At 43.5% G+C, this 19,662-nt stretch overlaps 1 protein-coding gene, 2 long non-coding RNA genes and 1 pseudogene across 34 annotated transcripts in view; 2 read left to right on the forward strand and 2 right to left on the reverse strand.

Annotated features, from left to right (window-relative positions):
- Nucleotides 1–19,662, forward strand: part of PCCA (propionyl-CoA carboxylase subunit alpha) — a 441,343-nt gene that overhangs the window by 374,124 nt on the left and 47,557 nt on the right. The gene's annotated exons all lie outside the window — the stretch shown is intronic.
- On the reverse strand, nt 1,221–17,799 carry PCCA-AS1 (PCCA antisense RNA 1). The gene is made up of 5 exons (NR_047686.1): nt 17,764–17,799; nt 14,113–14,197; nt 9,955–10,100; nt 2,922–2,983; nt 1,221–1,354 (listed from the first exon to the last, which is right to left on the reverse strand). It is a non-coding gene; the product is annotated as a PCCA antisense RNA 1 (long non-coding RNA).
- RPL7L1P6 (RPL7L1 pseudogene 6) lies at nt 6,006–7,139 on the forward strand (annotated as a pseudogene).
- LOC107984574 (uncharacterized) lies at nt 16,331–17,991 on the reverse strand. The gene is made up of 3 exons (XR_007063850.1): nt 17,904–17,991; nt 17,045–17,214; nt 16,331–16,547 (listed from the first exon to the last, which is right to left on the reverse strand). It is a non-coding gene; the product is annotated as an uncharacterized LOC107984574 (long non-coding RNA).

Genomic DNA, 19,662 nt, shown 5'->3' on the forward strand with positions numbered 1-19,662 from the left:
CAAGATGACACAAGACCATTCCAAGGAGGTTGGGTGGCATTCCCTAGATTCTGAGGTTCATTGAAGGAGTTGAAAGAAGAATCATAATCTCATCAGAGGTGGTTGGTTTTATTGGTGTGGTTTTTTTTTTTTTTTTTTTTTTTGACAACTTATGGGAGTAGGCAAAGAAAGAAGAGGGTACATTTGAGAGCCACTTCTTTAGAATCCAGTGTACAATTCTATGTATTGGGCAGAATTGAAGATAATTCTGAGATTTCTAGAGGTGATAACTGATGCAGTTAGGGAGGAAAAACAGGAAGAAGAGAAGAATTGTACCAGAGAAAAGGTGGACTCTATTAAAAAGATGGATTTAACCAATTTAAGTTTGAAATGCCAAGAGACATCTATGATATAAGGGAAATTTCTGGTCTGGAGAGCAAGAAGAAGATTAAGAGTGAGCACGTAAGTTGATGCCCCAGCAGAGGTGAGGTCCTAAGCCATGCAGTAGATGAACCTGCCAAAGGGACAATGGCAAAGCAGAGGCCAGGCCCAGAATGGAGCTCCAGGAAATGCCCACAGCTAAGGTGGAGGCTTGTCCTCTCTAATGGAGTCACTTACAAAATGATGACATGTTTATTATTGAAATCATTTATATATACTATTAGAAGCCAGTTCATTGTAACCTCAGTTATGATTTCACAGTATCCTAGGGTATCACTAAGTTATTTCAAAGTATCTCAGGATCTGTTGCCACCTGCCAAAGATCTTCAAAGTAAAATTAATATTTATAAATAATGCCTTACGCGTGTATGGTGCTTTAGGGCTTTAGAATGATTCTACATATGTCAGCTTACTTGATTCCATTCAATTGCTAAGATGAATAAGCCATAGCACACCTTAGAGTGAGTGGTAAAAATTAGACATGGAATACTTCTTGCAGTGTTTTCCATTTAAAATATTTGAGATTACAAGTTATGTGTTCACAGGAAATTACCACGAACCACTGCCAGATTGCTAGTGAACAGGATCGGGCAGGGGTGGGGGAGGAATAAGTAGAGTTTGTCTTCCTGCATTTGAATCGCAGATCACCTGTCTCTTAGCTTTGTGAATTTGAACAGGTTGCCTAACCTCCCTGGTCCTCAATTTTTTCATCAACAGAATAGATATTATCTGCTTTTATGGAGATGGCAAGGGCTGAAAAAGAAAACGTTTGTAAAATGCCTGAAAATAGCAGGCACTTGGCAAAGAATAGCTCGGTTTTTATTGTAGCTCCCCACTCTCCCTTTGCTTCATTTTCCCTTTCATTTGTCTTGCTTGGAGACATGCTATCATCTGAAGTGATAGTCTCCACCGAGTCTTCAATTTGGTGCTTGGCCTACAGAAAAATCCAGAGGGAAAATATTGTTCCCTTTTATTTGAAAAACCAAATTTGTGTTAATCCCCTGGTTATGACCCCTTAACATAGTTAATGTTTTGTAAGTGAATATGGAATAGAAAGCACATACTTAAATGTGTACCTTGTGGTGGCAGGGTGCTTAAAAACATCTGTTTCCTTGAAGAATCTTGCGAATCACCAACACCAAACTTGACCAGGGAAGAATTTGGTGCCTTGTGTTTAAACTGTGCTGCTTAAAATATATTCAGATGGAAAGAATGGCAAAACCATTCTGATATAGGACATTTTATGACAGTGCCTATGAGATGTTCTTTCTTCTACTGGCCTCACTTTTAAAGGGATATCATTTTAGGTAGGCTGTTTCAGGGCACTGTCATATGTTACTGTGGACTATCGATCTCTTGTACCTATGAATTATTTGATTGTCACTCTTTAATTTATAGTGAGAAGGAAGTGGGAATGGCAGCTCTTCTCTTATAGAAGAAAAATCTGAGTCAGTGGTTCTCAAGTTTTATCATGCCTGAGGATGACCAGGAAATCCTGGTGAAAATACAGATTCCCAGATCTGTTCCTAGAAAAGCTGACCCCCCATGTCTGATGTCGAAATCGGCTTAAAATGCACCAGGACTAGAATTTGCAATATATTTTGAACATTAATGTAGAATTACTATCTAGTTTGGAAAGTCAATACCAAAAGACACATGATATTCCTGGCCCCATGAGCCAAGCTTAGGAGCAGTGTTCTGGATCCTTTTCAGAATGAGAAGATAGGACAAACATTTGATTATTTGTGCTAATTAACATGTACTTTCATAATACATACTTTTTTAAAATCAGGGAGTGACATGATAGGATCTAAAGTATAATTAGGTCCATAGTGTCATCAACTGTATCTTTTAAGTTTACTTATCATCTGTATAATTCTTTAGATTCAGTCTGAGTTATTTCAAGTCTTATAGACAGTGATAATTTTTATTTTTGCCCTAGAGCAGGGCAGTGTTATCTGTTTGGGCAGTATTAACATTTTGGACAATTCTCTGTTGTGGGAGACTGCCCTATGCGTAATAGGATGTTTAGCAGCATCCTTGGCGTCCACCAACTAGATGTCAGAACATGTCTCCAGATATAACAACTAAAATTGTCTCCAAATATTGCCAAATGGCTGCACACAGCTTGGTTGGGGAGAGACTCCAGAACAGATGTGAAACTTAGTGGCTGGAAGCTTACAAAGTACACATGTCATGACCTACTTGAATACCTTATGCGAAGAAAATAAACTTTACCCGTCCTGATACTGGATTTGCTTTAGGAACATGTTTAGCGAATAGCTGTTTGGAAGTGTGTAAGGGGTACTTTTTCTTTATCTTCCTCATATTGGATCATGAACCAGGTCTACCATGGACAGCCATTCATGGAATTTAGGGCAAAGTCTAGTTTGTGTGATTGCATTGTGTTCATTTGGGTTCTTTTTACCATTTGAGTAGATGTACTGTTACTGCTTACCAAAGACACATTTTGGGTATACAGTGCGTGTGCAGCTCAATACCTTATTCTAGAAGCTGCTGCTCTTCATTTTGTCTTCAGTTTTGTAAAAGCCCCGTAATCCTGCTGGTGAGACATATTAGAGTGTGATAAGCATCACTTCACAGTGACATCTGTGAAGTTCTTCTGTTCTTTTTGCAGCTACTATTTAATTGTTTGGCTATTTAATATTTTGTGGCGCTTCCCCCCTTGTGCAAGGAAGTATATGGCAGGATGCCTGACAAGACACGTAGGAAGCCACACAGTAGTCAGCATCTCAAGTGTGTGTTCCTGAGAAATAGCCTTCCCAAGCCGGCATATGTTTTGTATGGTGTAAATTCTCAAGATTGTGAGGGGAACAGCTAAGGTAATTCCTAAGGTATCCGTGTTAATTACCTAAGGTAATTACCAAGCATCAGGGAACATAGCAACACTGCAAAGTCAAAGTACCCTCGTTTGAAATAGAATCTCTACCTGATTTAGGGGTTAGGGAAAGAATTAGTGGATAGGTTCTAACAATTACCCTTCTGAGGTCACGAGTTTGAGACCAGCCTGGCCAACATGGTGAAACCCCATCTCTACTAAAAATACAAAAATTAGCTGGGTGTGGTGGTTTGTGCCTGTAGTTCCAGCTACTTGGGAGGCTGAGGCAGGAGAATTGCATGAACCCAGGAGGCGGGGGTTGCAGTGAGCTGAGATTGCGCCACTGCACTCCAGCCTGGGCGATAGAGGGACAGTCCGTCTCAAAAAACAAAACAAAACAAAACAAACACAGTTACCTTTACAGTTCACCATGGCCAAAAGATTGTACCACTCCTTTCCTGTCTCAGCCACTTTTTGAGTGACTGTAAAGTAGGTTGGCCGGGGGACGATCGTTGCTTGCTGAGTGCCTGTAGGTACCTAGCACCGTATGTTTGTCATTCTCATTGAAGTCTCCCCTTTGAGATCACCAGTAGAATCCCCATGTTTCAGATGCAGTAACACGGACAGGAAGTAAGGGATTTGCTCAGAGTGGTTTATATCAGAAGAGCAGCTGTAGGACCAAACCCAGATCTAGTAACAAATGTGGCTTCCTTCACATGAGCATCTGGGTGGTTGGGAGTTAGTTATTCCTGACTGTTGGGTGGAGAGCAATTTGATGGGACAAAACCAGTTCTTCTGTGTTGAGGCTTAGACACCAGCCACTTAACGGGCCAGACAGCTGAGGTCCGGATTTCTCTGCTTCCTGAGCCAGTTACTCTTGTATAGCGGGGGAGGAGTGGGCACATTCTTTTTTTGAGATGGAGTCTTGCTCTGTTGCCCAGGCTGGAGTGCAGTGGCACAGTCTCCCCTCACTGCAAGCTCTGCCTCCCGGGTTCAAGCTATTCTTCTGCCCAGCCTCTTGAGTAGCTGGGACTACAGGTGCCCGCCACCATTCCAGACTAATTTTTTGTATTTTTAGTAGACACGGGGTTTCACCCTGTTAGCCAGGATCGTCTTGATCTCCTGACCTCATGATCCACCCGCCTTGGCCTCCCAAAGTGCTGGGATTACAGGCGTGAGCCACCGCGCCTGGCATCAAGTTTGATTGTGAGAGTGCAGCAATTCAGTCACATGTCCAAGCTCCACTCCTAGTTCTTTTGCTGTTTTCCCTACATCTGCAGTTACTTCTTGAACCCCTCAAAGTCACCCATGAGGGTTAGAATCCAGTTCTTCAAACTCTTGTTCATGTTGATAATTTGGCCTCTTCCCATGTGAATTCAACACAAATGTTCTTAATAGCATCTAGAGTGGTGAAGAAGGTTTTCAATTTACTTTGCCCAGATCCATCAGAGGAAACACTGTGGCAGCTGTAGTCTTCCAAATGTATTTCTGAAATAATAAGACTTAAAAGCTGAAACGACTGCTTGATCCATGGGCTGCGGAATGGATGTCGTGTTAGCAGGCACAAAAACCACATTCATCTCCTTGTATATCTCCGTCAGAGCTCCCAGGTAACAAGGTGCATTGTCAATGAGTAGTAATATTTTTAAGGAAATATTTTTTTCTGAGCAGTAGGTCTCCACAGCAGGTTTTAAATATTCAGTAAACCATGCCCTAAACAGATGTGCTGTCATCCAGGCTTTGTTTTTGCGTCCTAGAGTACAGGTAGGGTAGACTTAGCATCATTCCTAAGGGCCCTGGGATTTTCAGAATGGTAAGTGAGCACTGGCTTCAACTAAAAGTCAGCAGTTGCATTAGCCCTTAGCAAGAGAGTTGGCCTGTCCTTTGAAGCCAGAGGTTTACTTCTCCTCTCTAGTTGTGAAAGTTAGATGACATCTTCTTCCAACAGAAGGCTGTTTTGTCTACACTGAAAATCTGTAGTTTAGTGTGGCCACCTTCATCGGTGATCTTAACTAGACCTTCTGCGTGACTTACTGCAGCTTCTTCATCAGCACTTGGTACTTTGCCTTGCACTTTTATATTATGGAGATAGTTTCTTTAAACCTCATGAATCAACTTCTGCTAGCTTCACACTTTTCTTTTGCAGCTTCCTCGCCTCTCTCATCCTGTGTAGAATTGAAGAGAGCTAGGGCCTTGCTCTGGAGTAGGCTTTGGCTTAAGTGAATGTTGTGGCTGGTTTGATTGTCTATGGAGACCACTAAAACTTAGGCTGGGCACAGTGGTTCACACCTATAATCCCAGCACTTTGGGAGGCCGAGAGGGGCGGATCACTTGAGGTCAGGAGTTCGAGACCAGCCTGGCCAACATGGTGAAACTCCATCTCTACTAAAAATACAAAAATTGAGCTGCAACAATAGAAAGATGGTGGAGCAAGAACAAAGAAACAATCCCTTTGACTGGGCGCGGTGGTTCATGCCTGTAATCTCAGCACTTTGGGAGGCTGAGGCGGGTGGATCACCTGAGGTCGGGAGTTCGAGAGCAGCCTGACCAACATGGAGAAACCCCGTCTCTACTAAAAATACAAAACTAGCCGGACGTGGTGGCACATTCCTGTAATCCCAGCTACTAGGGAGGCTGAGGCAGGAGAATCGCTTGAACCCAGGAGACGGAGGTTGTGGTGAGCAAAGATTGCGCCATTGCACTCCAGCCTGGGCAACAAGAGTGAAACTCCGTCTCAAAAAAAAAAAAAAAAGAATCCCTTTGGTTCCAGAAAATCTCCTGAAAAAGAGGAAGGCTTATTAAGCCTTCAGAGCTACCCAGGCAAAGCAGGTACTTTTGGCAAAGAGGAACAAAGGAAAGGAAAAGGGCTCAGGTTTAAGGGACTGGAATCCTACATGATTCCTGGCGGCAGAAACATGACAAGGTGGGTCTCAGACGACTAGAAGTGAAACCTCATGCTTTGGAATTGCCAGATAAACATTCCTTGGCCTTTCTTGTACGTATCAAAAGGATTGATGGTGTGGCCGGGCACGGTGGCTCATGCTTCTAATATCAGCACTTTGGGAGGCCGAGGCGGGCGGATCACAAGGTGAAGAGTTCAAGACCAGCCTGGCCAACACAGTGAAACCCCATCTCTACTAAAAATACAGTATTAGCTGGGCGTGGTGGCAGGCGCCTGTAGTCTCAGCTACTCACTCGGGAGGTTGAGGCAGGAGAATCGCTTGAAACCCGGAGGCTGAGGTTGCAGTAAGCCGAGATCTCACCACTGCACTCCAGCCTGGGCGACAGAGTTAGGCTCTGTCTCAAAAAAAAACAAACAAAACAAAACAAAACAAAAAAAGTTTGATGGCGTGTGAGTTTACTGGTGCAGAAAACCATTGCAAGATTTTGCCTAAAGAAAGTTTTTAGTGGTGTCTTTGTAAAAGTCACCCCCTGCTGCATGTAATGGGATCTTATGTGACCTGGGGATTTCCAAATCTGAATTTTCTCTGGGAACTGATTTTGAAACGTGGTCAAGGTCAAGAATAAGACCATCCCTCTGACAGACAACACAGTGGTTGCGGAGCACCTGGGGAAGTATTTCCAGGAGACTTCATGGTTCTTGCGTCGTTTCCACCTCTCAGTGGCCCATCATGCTACCAAAAATAGAGTGGGCTTCCTCGAGATGGGCACACCTGGCTATCGGGGTGAACACGTCAATCAGCTCATCCGCCAGCTGAACTAGACCCAGGTGCCAAACTGCAGTACATTTTTATCAGTGAAGTGGAAGCGTGTGTTTTGGGTTTTTTTGGGGAATTTTTATCAAGTATCTTCAGAGAAGATTATTTCCTGCTTAATCTTCAAAAACTGGAAAGGAAGGGTCAAAGAAAAGACAGTAGCTTATGTTTATGGCGGGCACCTCTCATCACAGTCATTCCCAAGGAAAAATTCCAGAGTTTTCTACATTGGCAGCTGCCTCGTCTAAATCAACACATTCCATGTGCATCTTCTATCCTTGGGTTTAATGTTGCTAAATGAGTAACTCTAGCATTTGTACAAGACCCCCTAAGACTCTGGCAGCAGTCGACCAAGCCCAGGGACATAATTGAATCTGGAGATTCCTGAGGCCTTGTTTTGAAAAAGACTTGAAATACACATAGGAAGAAAGGCCCAAAAATAAATGTTCACTTGTCTCTGCAAAAAAATAAAAATAAAAAATAAAATTAAATTAAAAAATAAAAATATGAAAACTAGCTGGGCATGGTGGCTTACGCTTGTAGTCCCAGCCACTCTACTCGGGAGGCTGAGGCGGGAGAATCGCTTGAACCCGGGAGGCGGAGGTTGCAGTGAGCCAAGGTCACAACACTGCACTCCAGCCTGGGCGACAGAGTGAGACTCTGTCTCAAAAAATAAAAATAAAAAAACTTTTCATATCAGCAACAAGGCTATTTCACTTTCCTATCATCCATGTGTTCACTGGAGCAGCACTTTTAATTTTCTTCAAGACATTTTTCCTTTGCATTTACAACTTGAGTAACTGCACAAGAGACCTAGCTTTTGGCCTGTTTCAGCTTTCCACATGCTTTCTCAGTAAGCTTAATCATTTCTAGCTTTTGATTTAAAGTGAGAGACATGTGACTCTTCCTTTCACTTGAACACTTAGAGGCCACTGTAGGGTTATTAATTGGCTTAATTTCAATACTGTTGTGTCTTGGGGAATAGGGAGGCCCAAGGAGAGGGAGAGAGATGGGGGATTGGCCAGATAGTGGAGCAGTCAGAACACACACAACGTTTATTATAGTTTACCATCGTACATGGGCACAGTTTGTGGTTCCCCAAAACAATTTCAATGGTAACATCAAAGATCAGCGATGACAGATCACCACAACAGATAACGACGAAAATGGGTTTCCTAATAATGCAGAGGTTTGAAATACTGCAAGAATTACCAAAATGAGACACACAGATGTGAAGTAAGCACATGCTGTTGGAAAAAATGGTGGCAATAGATAAAGGGTTGCCACAAACCTTTAAATTGTAAAAAGTGCATTATCCTTGAAACACAATAGAGTGAAGCCTAATAAAATGAGGTAGGCCTGGATTTTTTGGATACTTGATAGTATCTAAGTTTCTTCTCAAACACAGCAAACATTTCACAGTTCAAATTTGCCCATCGGTAGAGTTTTCTCTGTGGATCTTCTCTGTTAATGCCACATCTGTCTAGAGTAAAAGTTCAATTCAATATTGTGCTATCAACTTAGCAACTTGTTGAAGATGAACTAACATAAGTACATGCTGTGTGTGTGTTCTGTGTGCAGACACAACACAGGTGAGCTTTCCGTAAGCCTGGATCTTCCCAATGGCGGTGCTTCTCGTGTGCAGGCCAACTAGGGAGAAGGGGACACTGGGGCCCACCCGGAGCTCTGTGGGCCTTGTCTCTTGTGACAAGGATATTTTGCTCCTTAGCTCAGCAGAGTCCAGGTTCTTGTCTCAGGACTGGGAAGAAGTAGGCAGGCGGACACTTGGAGAGTGAGTGGAGTAGAATGCACTAAGGGAAAGGAAAACTTAAAGGAAGGGTCTTGAAAGCAGATTGTGGTTCTCCCTTCACAGTGGAATACAAGGGCTTTTATATACCTGCTGATGGGGCTGCGTTCCCTATTTCTGTAAGCGCGAATTCCTGGCGGCTCCACCCGTCCTTCCAATGCAGACGTGGGCCCTTAGTCTGAGCCACTCTACATTGATTTATTTCCCTTACTGCGCATGTGTTAAGGGACAGAACTTTTCCACCGCAAGCATGTTTGGGCAAGGTCCCTGGGCACGACGACCTTGGTGGGTCAGAGGTTCTCCGGGGACCCTCCCCTGTCTACCGGGGAGAGTTCTCTGCTTCCTGCCTCCATCTACTCCCCAGTCTGCAGTCTGGCCCTCGGTGGTCCTGCAGATCTGGTGTTGATTTTGCAGGGTGTTTGGAAAGGTACCTGCGTATTTTCATTTATGGAAGTGACTGAGTGCCGACGAGGAGAGGTTAATGCCCTTGAGAGGAGAATTTATTACTTCATCACCTAAGAGAAGGGGGCACACCCCTCCATGCAGGGCACAGGGGAACCACCAGTGTGGGTCAGGAGGCAGAAAGGAGCCAGAGAAAAGTGTGGGTGGGAACCTTAGTGGGGCTTCCTCGGGAAAGGCAGTGCGTGGCTGGTTTGAATAATGATGGTGGGCTTTGGGGTGGTCTCTATTTGCCTGGTATCTGGCCCTGGGATGTTTTAAGGCAGGGAAAATACTGGCTTGGTGTGTGTTAGAGAAAATGGGCAGCTGGCTTACTTCCAAGTTCTTTACTAAATTGAGGAATTAGCTGGTCTTGGGAGAGGCAGTGTCTTTCTGGGTCTGTAAGTCCCTGGAAAATGTTAAAGTATCATAAGATAAAAAAAAAAAAAATTTAAACCTGATTAATACACTGTGAACCTAGAAGTAACCAGATTTTAGGAAACTGACCTATAGTGAGCAAACTCACAGGGATTGATAGCTAAGCCAGAATATGCATTTATTAGCTTGAGGGGAGGAATGTTTCTTCCAGTGACCAAATCTTTAAGTCTGCCCTCCAGAATATTGACTAAATATTCTGCCATCTAGAATGGAATAATTAGGAAACTCATTAGTCACCTTAATTTCAAACTAGTTTGGTTTATGTGGTAATCAGAGCAAACGGTGACGTGGTGTACCTGTGCCGCGCAGGGACTTGGTGAATTAATCTCTTCTCCCAGAACGCCCCACAAGGGCCACCGCCGTGCCTTCCCTTTTCTTTGCCTCTGCGCTGCTGTTATCTTCCCACAGAAAGGCCCCCTGCAGTCGATTAGGCTTCAGCTACCTAAACAATAGGCACAGACCCAAACGATGTCAAACTACAGTTTTCTCCTGCCCTTAGGGTGGCACTCAGGCCACTTTGATTGGAATTTTGAGTGTCCCCAAACTCTGGTTGTACTCTTTCACAGATGGGCAATTACAGTACTGCTCTGTGGAGTTTTACCAGTATAGCTCTCAGAAATTCCTAAGAATTTTCTATTTCTTAGGTTACACTCTCTATAGTACATACACTCAGACAGAAAAATATATTTCACGAAGAGAGCCTTGAAAAATCTCATCTCTAGTCCCAGTGATGCCTTAAACTGGTTGTGTGACCTTCGTAAACCTCAGTTTTCTTTGTTGTAAAATGAAAGGTCGGGGTCGGTGACCTCTAGAGTCTATCCCACCCCTAGCCTGCTCCGAGAGTGATTGCATTTGGCACAATATGCAGTTTGCTTCGCAGCAGTAGCAAAATGACACATGCAACTTATTATCATCATTGTCTATCTTTTGATTTCCTTGAGTTTTCCAGTCTCATTAGGGGAGACATCTCTGGCTTATCGCACAATGACATCGTGTCTTGTAACTTAATTTCTGGGGACAACACATTGTGCTGCCACAGGCACAGTGCTAATAATCAAGGTTGTCTGTTCTGCTTACTGTGACTTTTTTGTGGTTTCTGGAGAAAAAATGCAGATGCTTTTCAATTATTCTAAGGGAATTTTGATGAACCCCCTGGGTAGAGTTCCCTGTGCCACCTGCCATGAGAAGTGAGTTTTATCGAACAGAAGGTAGGGAATTGAATTGCTCATATTTGTTTTCTTTCTGGTACCTATAGTATTATTTCAAGCTCAAGCATTTTAATAAATATTTAATAAATACCTGTCTAAAATAGGCCAAAACTGTCATAAACTAAACCTCTTTTCTTCTTCAATTTTAAATGCAAATGAGTTAATTTGACTTTTAGTGGAATTTCCAAGATAAAGGCCCATGTTTTTCCTTTATGTATCCGAAAGTTATTTTTGATGGTATAGTGAACGTCCTGCTTACTACACATTTTATGTATTAGCCTTTGGAAGCAAATTCCTTAAGTTTATTGCAACGTTGCTGCTTTTGTTGCCATTCTTATAATTTTATGTATTTACTGTTTCTCTCTCTCTCTCTCTCTCTCTCTCTCTGTCTCTGTCTCTGTCTCTGTCTCTCTCTCATATTGAGACAGGATCTCACTCTGTGGCCCAGGCTGGAGTGCAGTGGTACAGTCATGGCTCACTGCAGCCTCGACCTCCTGGGCTCAAGTGATGCTCCCACCTCAGCTTCCCAGGTAGCTGGGACTACAGGAATGCGCCACCATGCCTGGTTAATTTTTTAGGTATTTTTTGTAGAGAAGGGATTTTACCACGTTGCCCAGGCTGGTCTCGAACTCCTAGTCTCAAGCGATCCTCCCACCTTGGCCTCCCAAAGTGCTAGGTGTGAGCCACTGTGCCTGGCCGTATATGTCCATTTTGCAGGCCAGAATTCTTTGACTGTTTGATTTACAGAGAATTTTCAAATATCTGCCTCTAAGGACTTTTGTAGCAATTTTATTGAGATACAATTAACGTATAATTCACCCACTTAAAATGTAGGATCCAGTGGGTTTTGTTTCTTGTTTTTGTTGTTTCTTTTGTTAAGAGATAAGCAGCAAATACATTTTTAGTATAATTATGTTTCATTCAATATTTGGGACATATGCTAACACTTGTTATTATTAGCATTATTATTAGCATTATTATTCAAGCTGAGGTCTCATTCTGTTGCCCAGGCTGGAGTGCAGTGGCTTGGTCACAGCTCATTGCAGCCTTGAACTCTTGGGCTCAAGTGGTCCTCCTGCTTCAGCCTCCCAAGTAAGTGGGATTATAGGTGCAAGCCACAGCACCCAGCGATTCACTGGTTTTTAGACTGTCCACAGAGCTGTGCTGCCATCACTGTAATATTTTAAAACATTTTCATCACCCCAAAAAGAAGCCCCCTACCCATTAGCATTCACTCCTCACCCCTTCCACCCCTCCCGCCTGTGGTAGCCACTGATCTACTTTCTGTCTGTGTATAGCTTATTCTGGACATTTCTTAGGAAAGGAATCATACAGTATGTCGTCTTTTGTGGCTTTCACTTACATACTGGTATCCACATTGTAGCACATGCCAGTACATCATTCCTGTGTATGGGCAAATAACATCCCATTGTATGGATATACCTTAACATTTTATTTACCTGTCAGTTGGTGGGTGTTGGTTCCTGTCTTTTCGGCTACTGTGAATAATGCTGTTATGAACATTCATGTACGAGTTTTTGGGGCGACAAGGTTTTAATTTTTCTTGGGTGTATACCTAGAAGTGGAATTTCCAGGTGGTGTAGTAACTCTATGTTTAACTTTATGAGGAATTCTCACACTGTTTTCCAAAGTGGCTGCACCATTTTACCCTCCCACCAGCAATGGGAGCGATCCAGTTCTTCCCACATCCTCACTGACACTCGTTATTGTCTTTTTTATTATGGTCATCATAGTGGCTATGAAGACAGGCTTGTTTTTAAATATTCTCTATGTAGTATTCTGCTTTCTTCCCTAGAAATCATAATTAATGCAGAAGTAGCCCAAATTGTGTATGTTAATTTGTTTTATTTTTTTAAAACAAACTTGACCCCCCAAAAGCAACAAAGCACATACATTTCAGTTAATATATATTTTCTAGGACGTTATTGTCTCTTCTCAAATGAGATGATTTCGATATGAAGCACAGAGTTCCTTTCATTTTCCTATGCTCATTCTCTCTCTTTTTAATGGTATCACATACTGTGCAGGAAGGTCATTATATAAGGAGAGGAAAAAAGAATAATCAGCATAGAAGAGAAAATTAATGCTGTTTGTGTAATTTTTAATAGGAATGTTGTAAAATTTTGAGATTTAAACCAACTACTAATATTTTTTATACATTACTGGGCAGTTTCCTCTTGTTGCCTGTGAACTGATACTTTGCCTTGGAAACTCAGATAGTAAAAATATTTGTCAAAGCTTCAAATACCAGTGTTTTAATTCCTTAGTCATTTAGATATTAATCCTGTTCTGGAGACCACCTACATGTGTTTGTAAGGGATGTGATAACTGACACTGTATTTAATTAGCACTAATATTGTGAAAAAAGCAAAACATATTAAGTATCTTTCCAAGTCACTAGTTTGAAATTAGCAGAAGTGAGGAAGAGAAAGTCCTGTCCACCCCCCACCCTTAGTTTGCATACCCATGGAAGTTTGTGATCCATTTACTCATTCATTTATCCAAGTATTTGATAGGTACATATTTTGTGGTGGACAACATTCCAGGTATTGTGGAAATGGACCAATTTCAATAGGACAGAAATCTGAATCACAAATAAGCATCCAGTGGCAACCAGCTGGTGTACACACTGCACCTAAATACAAATTCATAGGTATCAAAATCACCTTCATGTGTCACACAGTCACCTTTCTTAGTTCCTCATAGCAAAACTGGGGGACTCTGAGGTCAGTCCCCAGAGTACCTGGTTGAGGGGTGGGGCAGGGCAGTTGAATAAGGGAGTAGAATGAATGAAAACTTTAGACTCTGAAGCTCGTCACTTTATTCTGCCATATTTTAGTTTTGTGGTATTAAATCTCTACAGAAATTAATTATCTTGCTTCCTTTCTTGAATTCCTTTTCAAATGTTATAGTTACTACTTCAGTAATTCTATCCCATCTGTTTATATACAAAAGGTAATTTACCGGGTAATGACCGAGGGCACCTGCTTTAAAGTCAAGTGCATACTAATTTACTGGCTATTTGCTTGGCCTCATTTACGCTCTCTCGGCACAGTTTCTGGGTCTGTAAAATGAGAGTGATTGTACCATCTACCTCATTGGCGACAGTGAGAATTAAATGAGTTGGTGCATGCATAACACTTAGTACAGTTCCTGGCACAATGTTACCACTCAATAACTAGCAGTGTGGAAATATTTCACACCTAAGAGTAAAGTTTTATTTACCTTTAGGAGACAGGATCCTGGGAACTTTCTGGTTGCCATAGCTGCTTCCTCAAGGCAACTAAGTTAGATGTGGAGTTTCTAATTCCTGTTGGAAATTCAGTGAATAAGAAAATACTACTGAAAGTTATACTATTTTCTGCATGTTAATGATTTGATATTATACAGCTTTAAGTTCTCAGTGCTCATTCGGGTAGTGCAGGTGAGAGACGGCGGCTTTAGGGGCAAGGCAGTGACCCTGTGGATGATGGGAAGAGAGTTGTTAAGAAATAATTGTTTAAATCATCCAGAGAGTACTGTAGCAAGGATTGTTCCTAAAAAGAACTGTGGTAATCCTTGTTGAATAGCAAGTTTGGACAGTATACGGTAGGGAAATCTCAGGAATACTATAAACAAATAAAATGATGGGGTGAGCCCTATGAAGCGTGTGTTCTCCTGTGGGCAGTGGCAGAGTTACCCTTCACCCCTGAGTCCTGATTTCTCAGCCTCTTCATGTGACTGTCTCCTTGGCTCCTGGGAAAGAAAGAAGCCTCTACCTTCCCTGGATTGAATGCAGCCCTTCTTGTCCCGTCTGCAGAGCATGAGGAACAGCTGGCCACCTGCACCTGACAAGGCCTGTGGCCGCGGGCAGTACCCAGCCCTGCGCTGACGGCCGCTCCAGGTTGTTGCTGGATGTGGCGAGCTCGAGCTAATCGGGCCTTTTAGGCTTTTGTTTCTTAGCAAATGATCAGCTGTGAACTGCCCTTGGCCTAACTTGGCCTTGTTAGCTCAGAAGCCCGCAATTCATTGCATTTTACCCTGAAGAGGAATGGTAGGTCTGAGGACATATTTATTTTTCTGTGGATTTTTTTTCCCCTTGATCCAGGAAATTGTCTGTCTTCAACAACCTAGTCTTGTCTCCTCCAGAGAAAAGTTTTGAATCCTCTGAGGAGCGGTCTGTCGCCATTGTGGCCTGTGGTCAGTGGGTCAGACCAGAGCCCTGACAACTGTCTCCCTTCCTGGGCCCAAGTGGACACCAGAGGAGTTTGGGGCTCTGGGATCAGCCTGCTCTGGCGAGTGTCCTTTCCCTCCCACTCTGGAACTGTAGCTTCTCAGCCCTCTTCTTGATGCTGGGCGGGTGCCTGGGAGGCCCCACCCCTTCCCTGGGTACCTGGGGAGGTCCCCGACTGAGAGGTGGGAAGACCTGTGTCCCCTCCCCCAGCACACTCTCAGCCTCTGACTTAGTTCTCATAGGAGGAGGCAACAGCTTCCAGGAGCTGCTGCTGTTACCCTCGACGCCATGATGAGGAGGAAATTGCCTGGTCAGGAGGGCTCGCCTGCCTCTTCACAGCCAGGCGTACTGTAGCGGCCTCAGGAGCGGTCACCCTGGGAGTGACTCCTCACCTCCTAAGCAGCCCTGGGGCATGAACACTCGTCCTGGAAATCCTGCTAGGCTGGCTTAAGGGAGTTGCTTCTAGCATGCCTTTCTGGATAAGCCTAGTAGAATTGCTTTTTCTACTATAAAAAGGAAAGAATGGGGCTCCTCATATTATAGTAACAGAATTCTTGGTACTAGAACTGGTAAGCCAAGAGAAATGGAAGCTGACCAACTTTTCTCTCTGCACAGGGTTCAGAGGGATAGAAACACACAATTTGACTCTGCATGCACCAGAACCTTCTCACTCAGGGTAAGGGACAGCCACAGTTTCTGGGACGTTACCTAAAAACACAATAATCCCACTTATTCTCTGACAGATAATCATCAGTCATAGCCCCACTACTCACTTTTATTAAAGAAATAGCTGGGCCCTTTTAGGTAAAGCCCTTTATATACTGGGAAAAAAGGTCATGTTATCCATTCCTCAAATCCCAGGTAAACTCCTGCTGGTTACTCAAAAATAAAAACCAAAATGAAAGCCCATTCATCACAGGGATGCCTAATCTTGTAATGAGGGAATCACTGAGTGTGGCACAGGGAAGACTCCTGAGAGATTCTGATGGGGTACAAGTGTGCTGACCAACGTCCTAGATACAGTGGGCCCTTGAACAATATGGGGGCTAGGGATATCAACCCTGTGCAGTCAGAAATCTACGGATACCTTCTGACTCTCCCAGAATGTAACTGCTAGTAGCCTACTGCTGACCAGAAGTCCTACCAATAACATACAGTCATTTAGCACGTATTTGGTATGTTACATGATTATATACTGTATTCCTGCAATAAAGTAAGCTAGAGAAAGTGTTAGGAAAATCATAACGACAAAATATATTTATTATTCATTAAGTGGAAGTGGATCATCTTAAAGATCTTGATCTTCATTGTCTTCACGTTGAGTTGGCTGAGGAGGAGGGGGCTTGATCTTGCTGTCTCAAGAGCAGCGGAGTCATAAGAAAATGCACATTTAAGTGGCCCCATGCAGTTCAAATCCATGTTGCTCAAGGCTCAACTGTACACCGAACTGAAAAATGATTCCATTTTTAGTAGGAAATGGCCTACTCTAAGTCCTACTGCTTCCCTTTGCACTTGATGGCAAGGGTCTTTAACTGTGTCAGTGGAGCTGGTTTGGCTCCACTGATAGAGACTCCCTGACCATCTGATAGGCCACTTTTGTTAGAGGAGAAGGTACCCCCTTGCCTACCTGTTCTTTTCTTACTTCATGGGTCTTGATTCCTGACTCAGGAGCACCCATTACAGAAAAGCCCTGGGACTAGATCTAATTTTATTTAATGAAAAACCTATGGAGCATTTACTCTTGCTTCTAATAAATTAACAAGTCAGGGCTTTCTTCTGAATAGGAGGGTCTCTTGACTCTTTGATATTTGACTTTTGAACCAGACTAGATGAGGCAGAGCTTCAGCACATATTTTACCAGTGTCTTCAGCAAATGCCTTTCTCTTTGCAAAGCTCCATATTACTACCAAAAATTAACCCAACTAAATTGTAATTTCTACTCACCCACATTTATTGAGTACTGTGTTTCCTTGAAAGATCTCAAACAAGGCACCTTCTTGCAAGATCTTCACCACCAGACCTTCATGATAGTCACCTCCTCATTAGGCTGAGACGCATACACAGTGATTACGTTCAGACACAGGGACTCCTGTGTCTTAAGACCTTGTGTGACCCTTGTAATTAAAGCATTACACTTTGCAAAGGCTGACAGTGGTATAGGGGCTGTCTGAAACTATTCAGCCATAGCCTGGTCTCTGCTTTCTTTTTACAAATGGGAGGTTGGCTAAGGCAGACACAGGGATGGCTAAGAGGGATAAAGGACGTGACTTCCATAGAACCTTTTGTTCCTAGAGGAACCTCTCCATGAAACACACAGTGAAACTAGATTAAACCAAAAAACGCCCTCAGCTCCAGCAGATCCTGAGCTACAAAGCACCTCTTCCCTACCGAGCCTTCTCACCCATGCGCACTGAGTTTCTGAGTATCAGAAAGTCAGGTTTCTGAATCCCTAGAGAAAGTAAAAATTTCCTTGGACACAATGGGTTTTCTTTGCTTCCTGCATGACAGTCACGAAGGGGAATCTGAAATAGAGAACTTGAATATGCGGCTTGCTGAAGGGAAGTGTACTGTACAGTAGCCCCCCTTCTCCACGGGGGATCCATGTCAAAATCCCCAGGGGATGCCTAAGACTGCGGATGGGACCGAACCCTGTATACGCTTGCCTTTAATGCCTTTTCCATTTCAGCTCGGCACTTAGCCCACACTGTGGCTGTAACTTTTGTAGTTTTAGGTACAGCAGCAAAACTAGCACAAATTTCTTTGTCCTTTTTCACAATTTCATGGATAGAAGATTGATTCTTACTGTAGATCTTAGCAATCTCAGCATACTTTTTTTTTTCTTGAGAACTTTCACCTTTTAACTAAAGGAAGGACTTCATGGCTGGTTTTTGGCATATCCAGATTGCCAGCATCATACTCTTGGAACTTTGAGGCCATTGTGAAGTCAAATAATAGTTCCTGCCAGGCACAGTGGCTCACACCTGTAATCCCAGCATTTTGGGAGTCCAAGGCAGGTGGATCACTTGAGCTCGGGAGTTTGAGACTAGCCTGGGCAACATGGCAAAACTCTGCCTCTACAAAAAACACAAAAATTCACCGGTCACGGTGGCACATACCTGTAGTCCCAGCTACTCGGCAGGCTGAGGTGGGAGCATGGCTTAAGCCCAGGAGGTGGAGGTTACAGCGAGCCAAGATCATGCCACTGCACTCCAGCCTGGGCGACAGAGCCAGCCTCTGTCTCAAAAATAAAAAAGGAACCTAAGCACTGAGACCCCCTGACAGTAGATCTGGTAACTGAGATGGCCACTAAGTGACTGGTTGGTGGTGGGGGTGTCTACAGCGTGGAGATGCTGGACCCCGAGAGAGAGGGTTTATGACCCAGGCAGGATGGAGCAGGACAGCACAAGATCTCCTCACACTACTCAGAATGACTCACAATTTAAAACTTATACATTGTTTATTTCTGGAATTTTCCATATAATGTTTCTGGACCATGGTTGACCACAGGTAAATGAAACCTTGGAAAGCTAAAACCTTGGATAAGGGGGGACTACTGTAATATAAAGTTTACAGTTCCTGGGGTGAAAGCTCAGGCAGACCCTATCTATGCATTATTACAACGTACCATCAATTCAAAACCATAAATTTGCAGAAACATCGTTGCTTTAATTCCTAAAATATTGAATATGAATAATAAAAATAATATATGCTTTGTCTTAGAAGCACCTTTTTAATATGATTGATGTGTATTGATCTGTTTCTTCATTCTAACATGAACATTTCTGTAACAGTCATTTCCCCTGAAATATCTAACCTGTGGGTACCTGAGACAGCTTGTCAGTTAGGAAGAACAGTGGTGGCGATAGCCACGTAGGGCTGGTTTGGTCGTGAGTGCAAGTGTGGTTGCAGCAGCTAGAGCAGAGGACTGTGTGGAGAACATGGGTCAGGTCAGAAGGCAGTAGCCAGGAGGGATGCAGAGTCGAGAGAGAATTTGTTGATTGGAATGACTCAGGTTGACTTTCAGGATGAAGAGAAGGGGCCAATAGAGAGGGAAGAGAGGACAGTTGATGAGGCAGGCTCCAAGAGAGGAGGGCAAAGCGAGATCAGGGGCTCCAGTGAAATGCCTGAGTGTGATGAGAAGAGCGCTGTCTTGTGAGGCTAGAGAGGGAACCAAGGATGGGTGGGCCTGGGAAGGCTGGAGAGGTAGCCTGTCAGGGAGCTGCTAACCCACTTAGAAATACTCTTATTGACATAACAAGGTTTTTTGTTTTGGTTTTTTGTTTGTTTGTTTTGAGAGAGCGTTCGCTCGTTCCCCAAGCTGAAATGCAATGGTGCAGTCTCAGCTCACTGAAACCTCCACCTCCTGGGTTCAAGCGATTCTCCTGCCTCAGCCTCCCGAGTTGCTGGGATTACAGGTGCATGCCACGGGTGCAGTGGCTCACGCCTGTAATCCCAGCACTTTGGGAGGTCGGGGCGGGCGGATCATTTGAGGTCAGGAGTTCAAGACCAGCCTGGCTAACATGGATATAACAAAATTTTCTATTTCAAAAGTTCAGTCGTGG

The sequence above is a fragment of the Homo sapiens genome, chromosome 13 (genome assembly GCF_000001405.40).
Source record: "Homo sapiens chromosome 13, GRCh38.p14 Primary Assembly".
NCBI classification, from domain to species: Eukaryota; Metazoa; Chordata; class Mammalia; order Primates; family Hominidae; genus Homo; species Homo sapiens.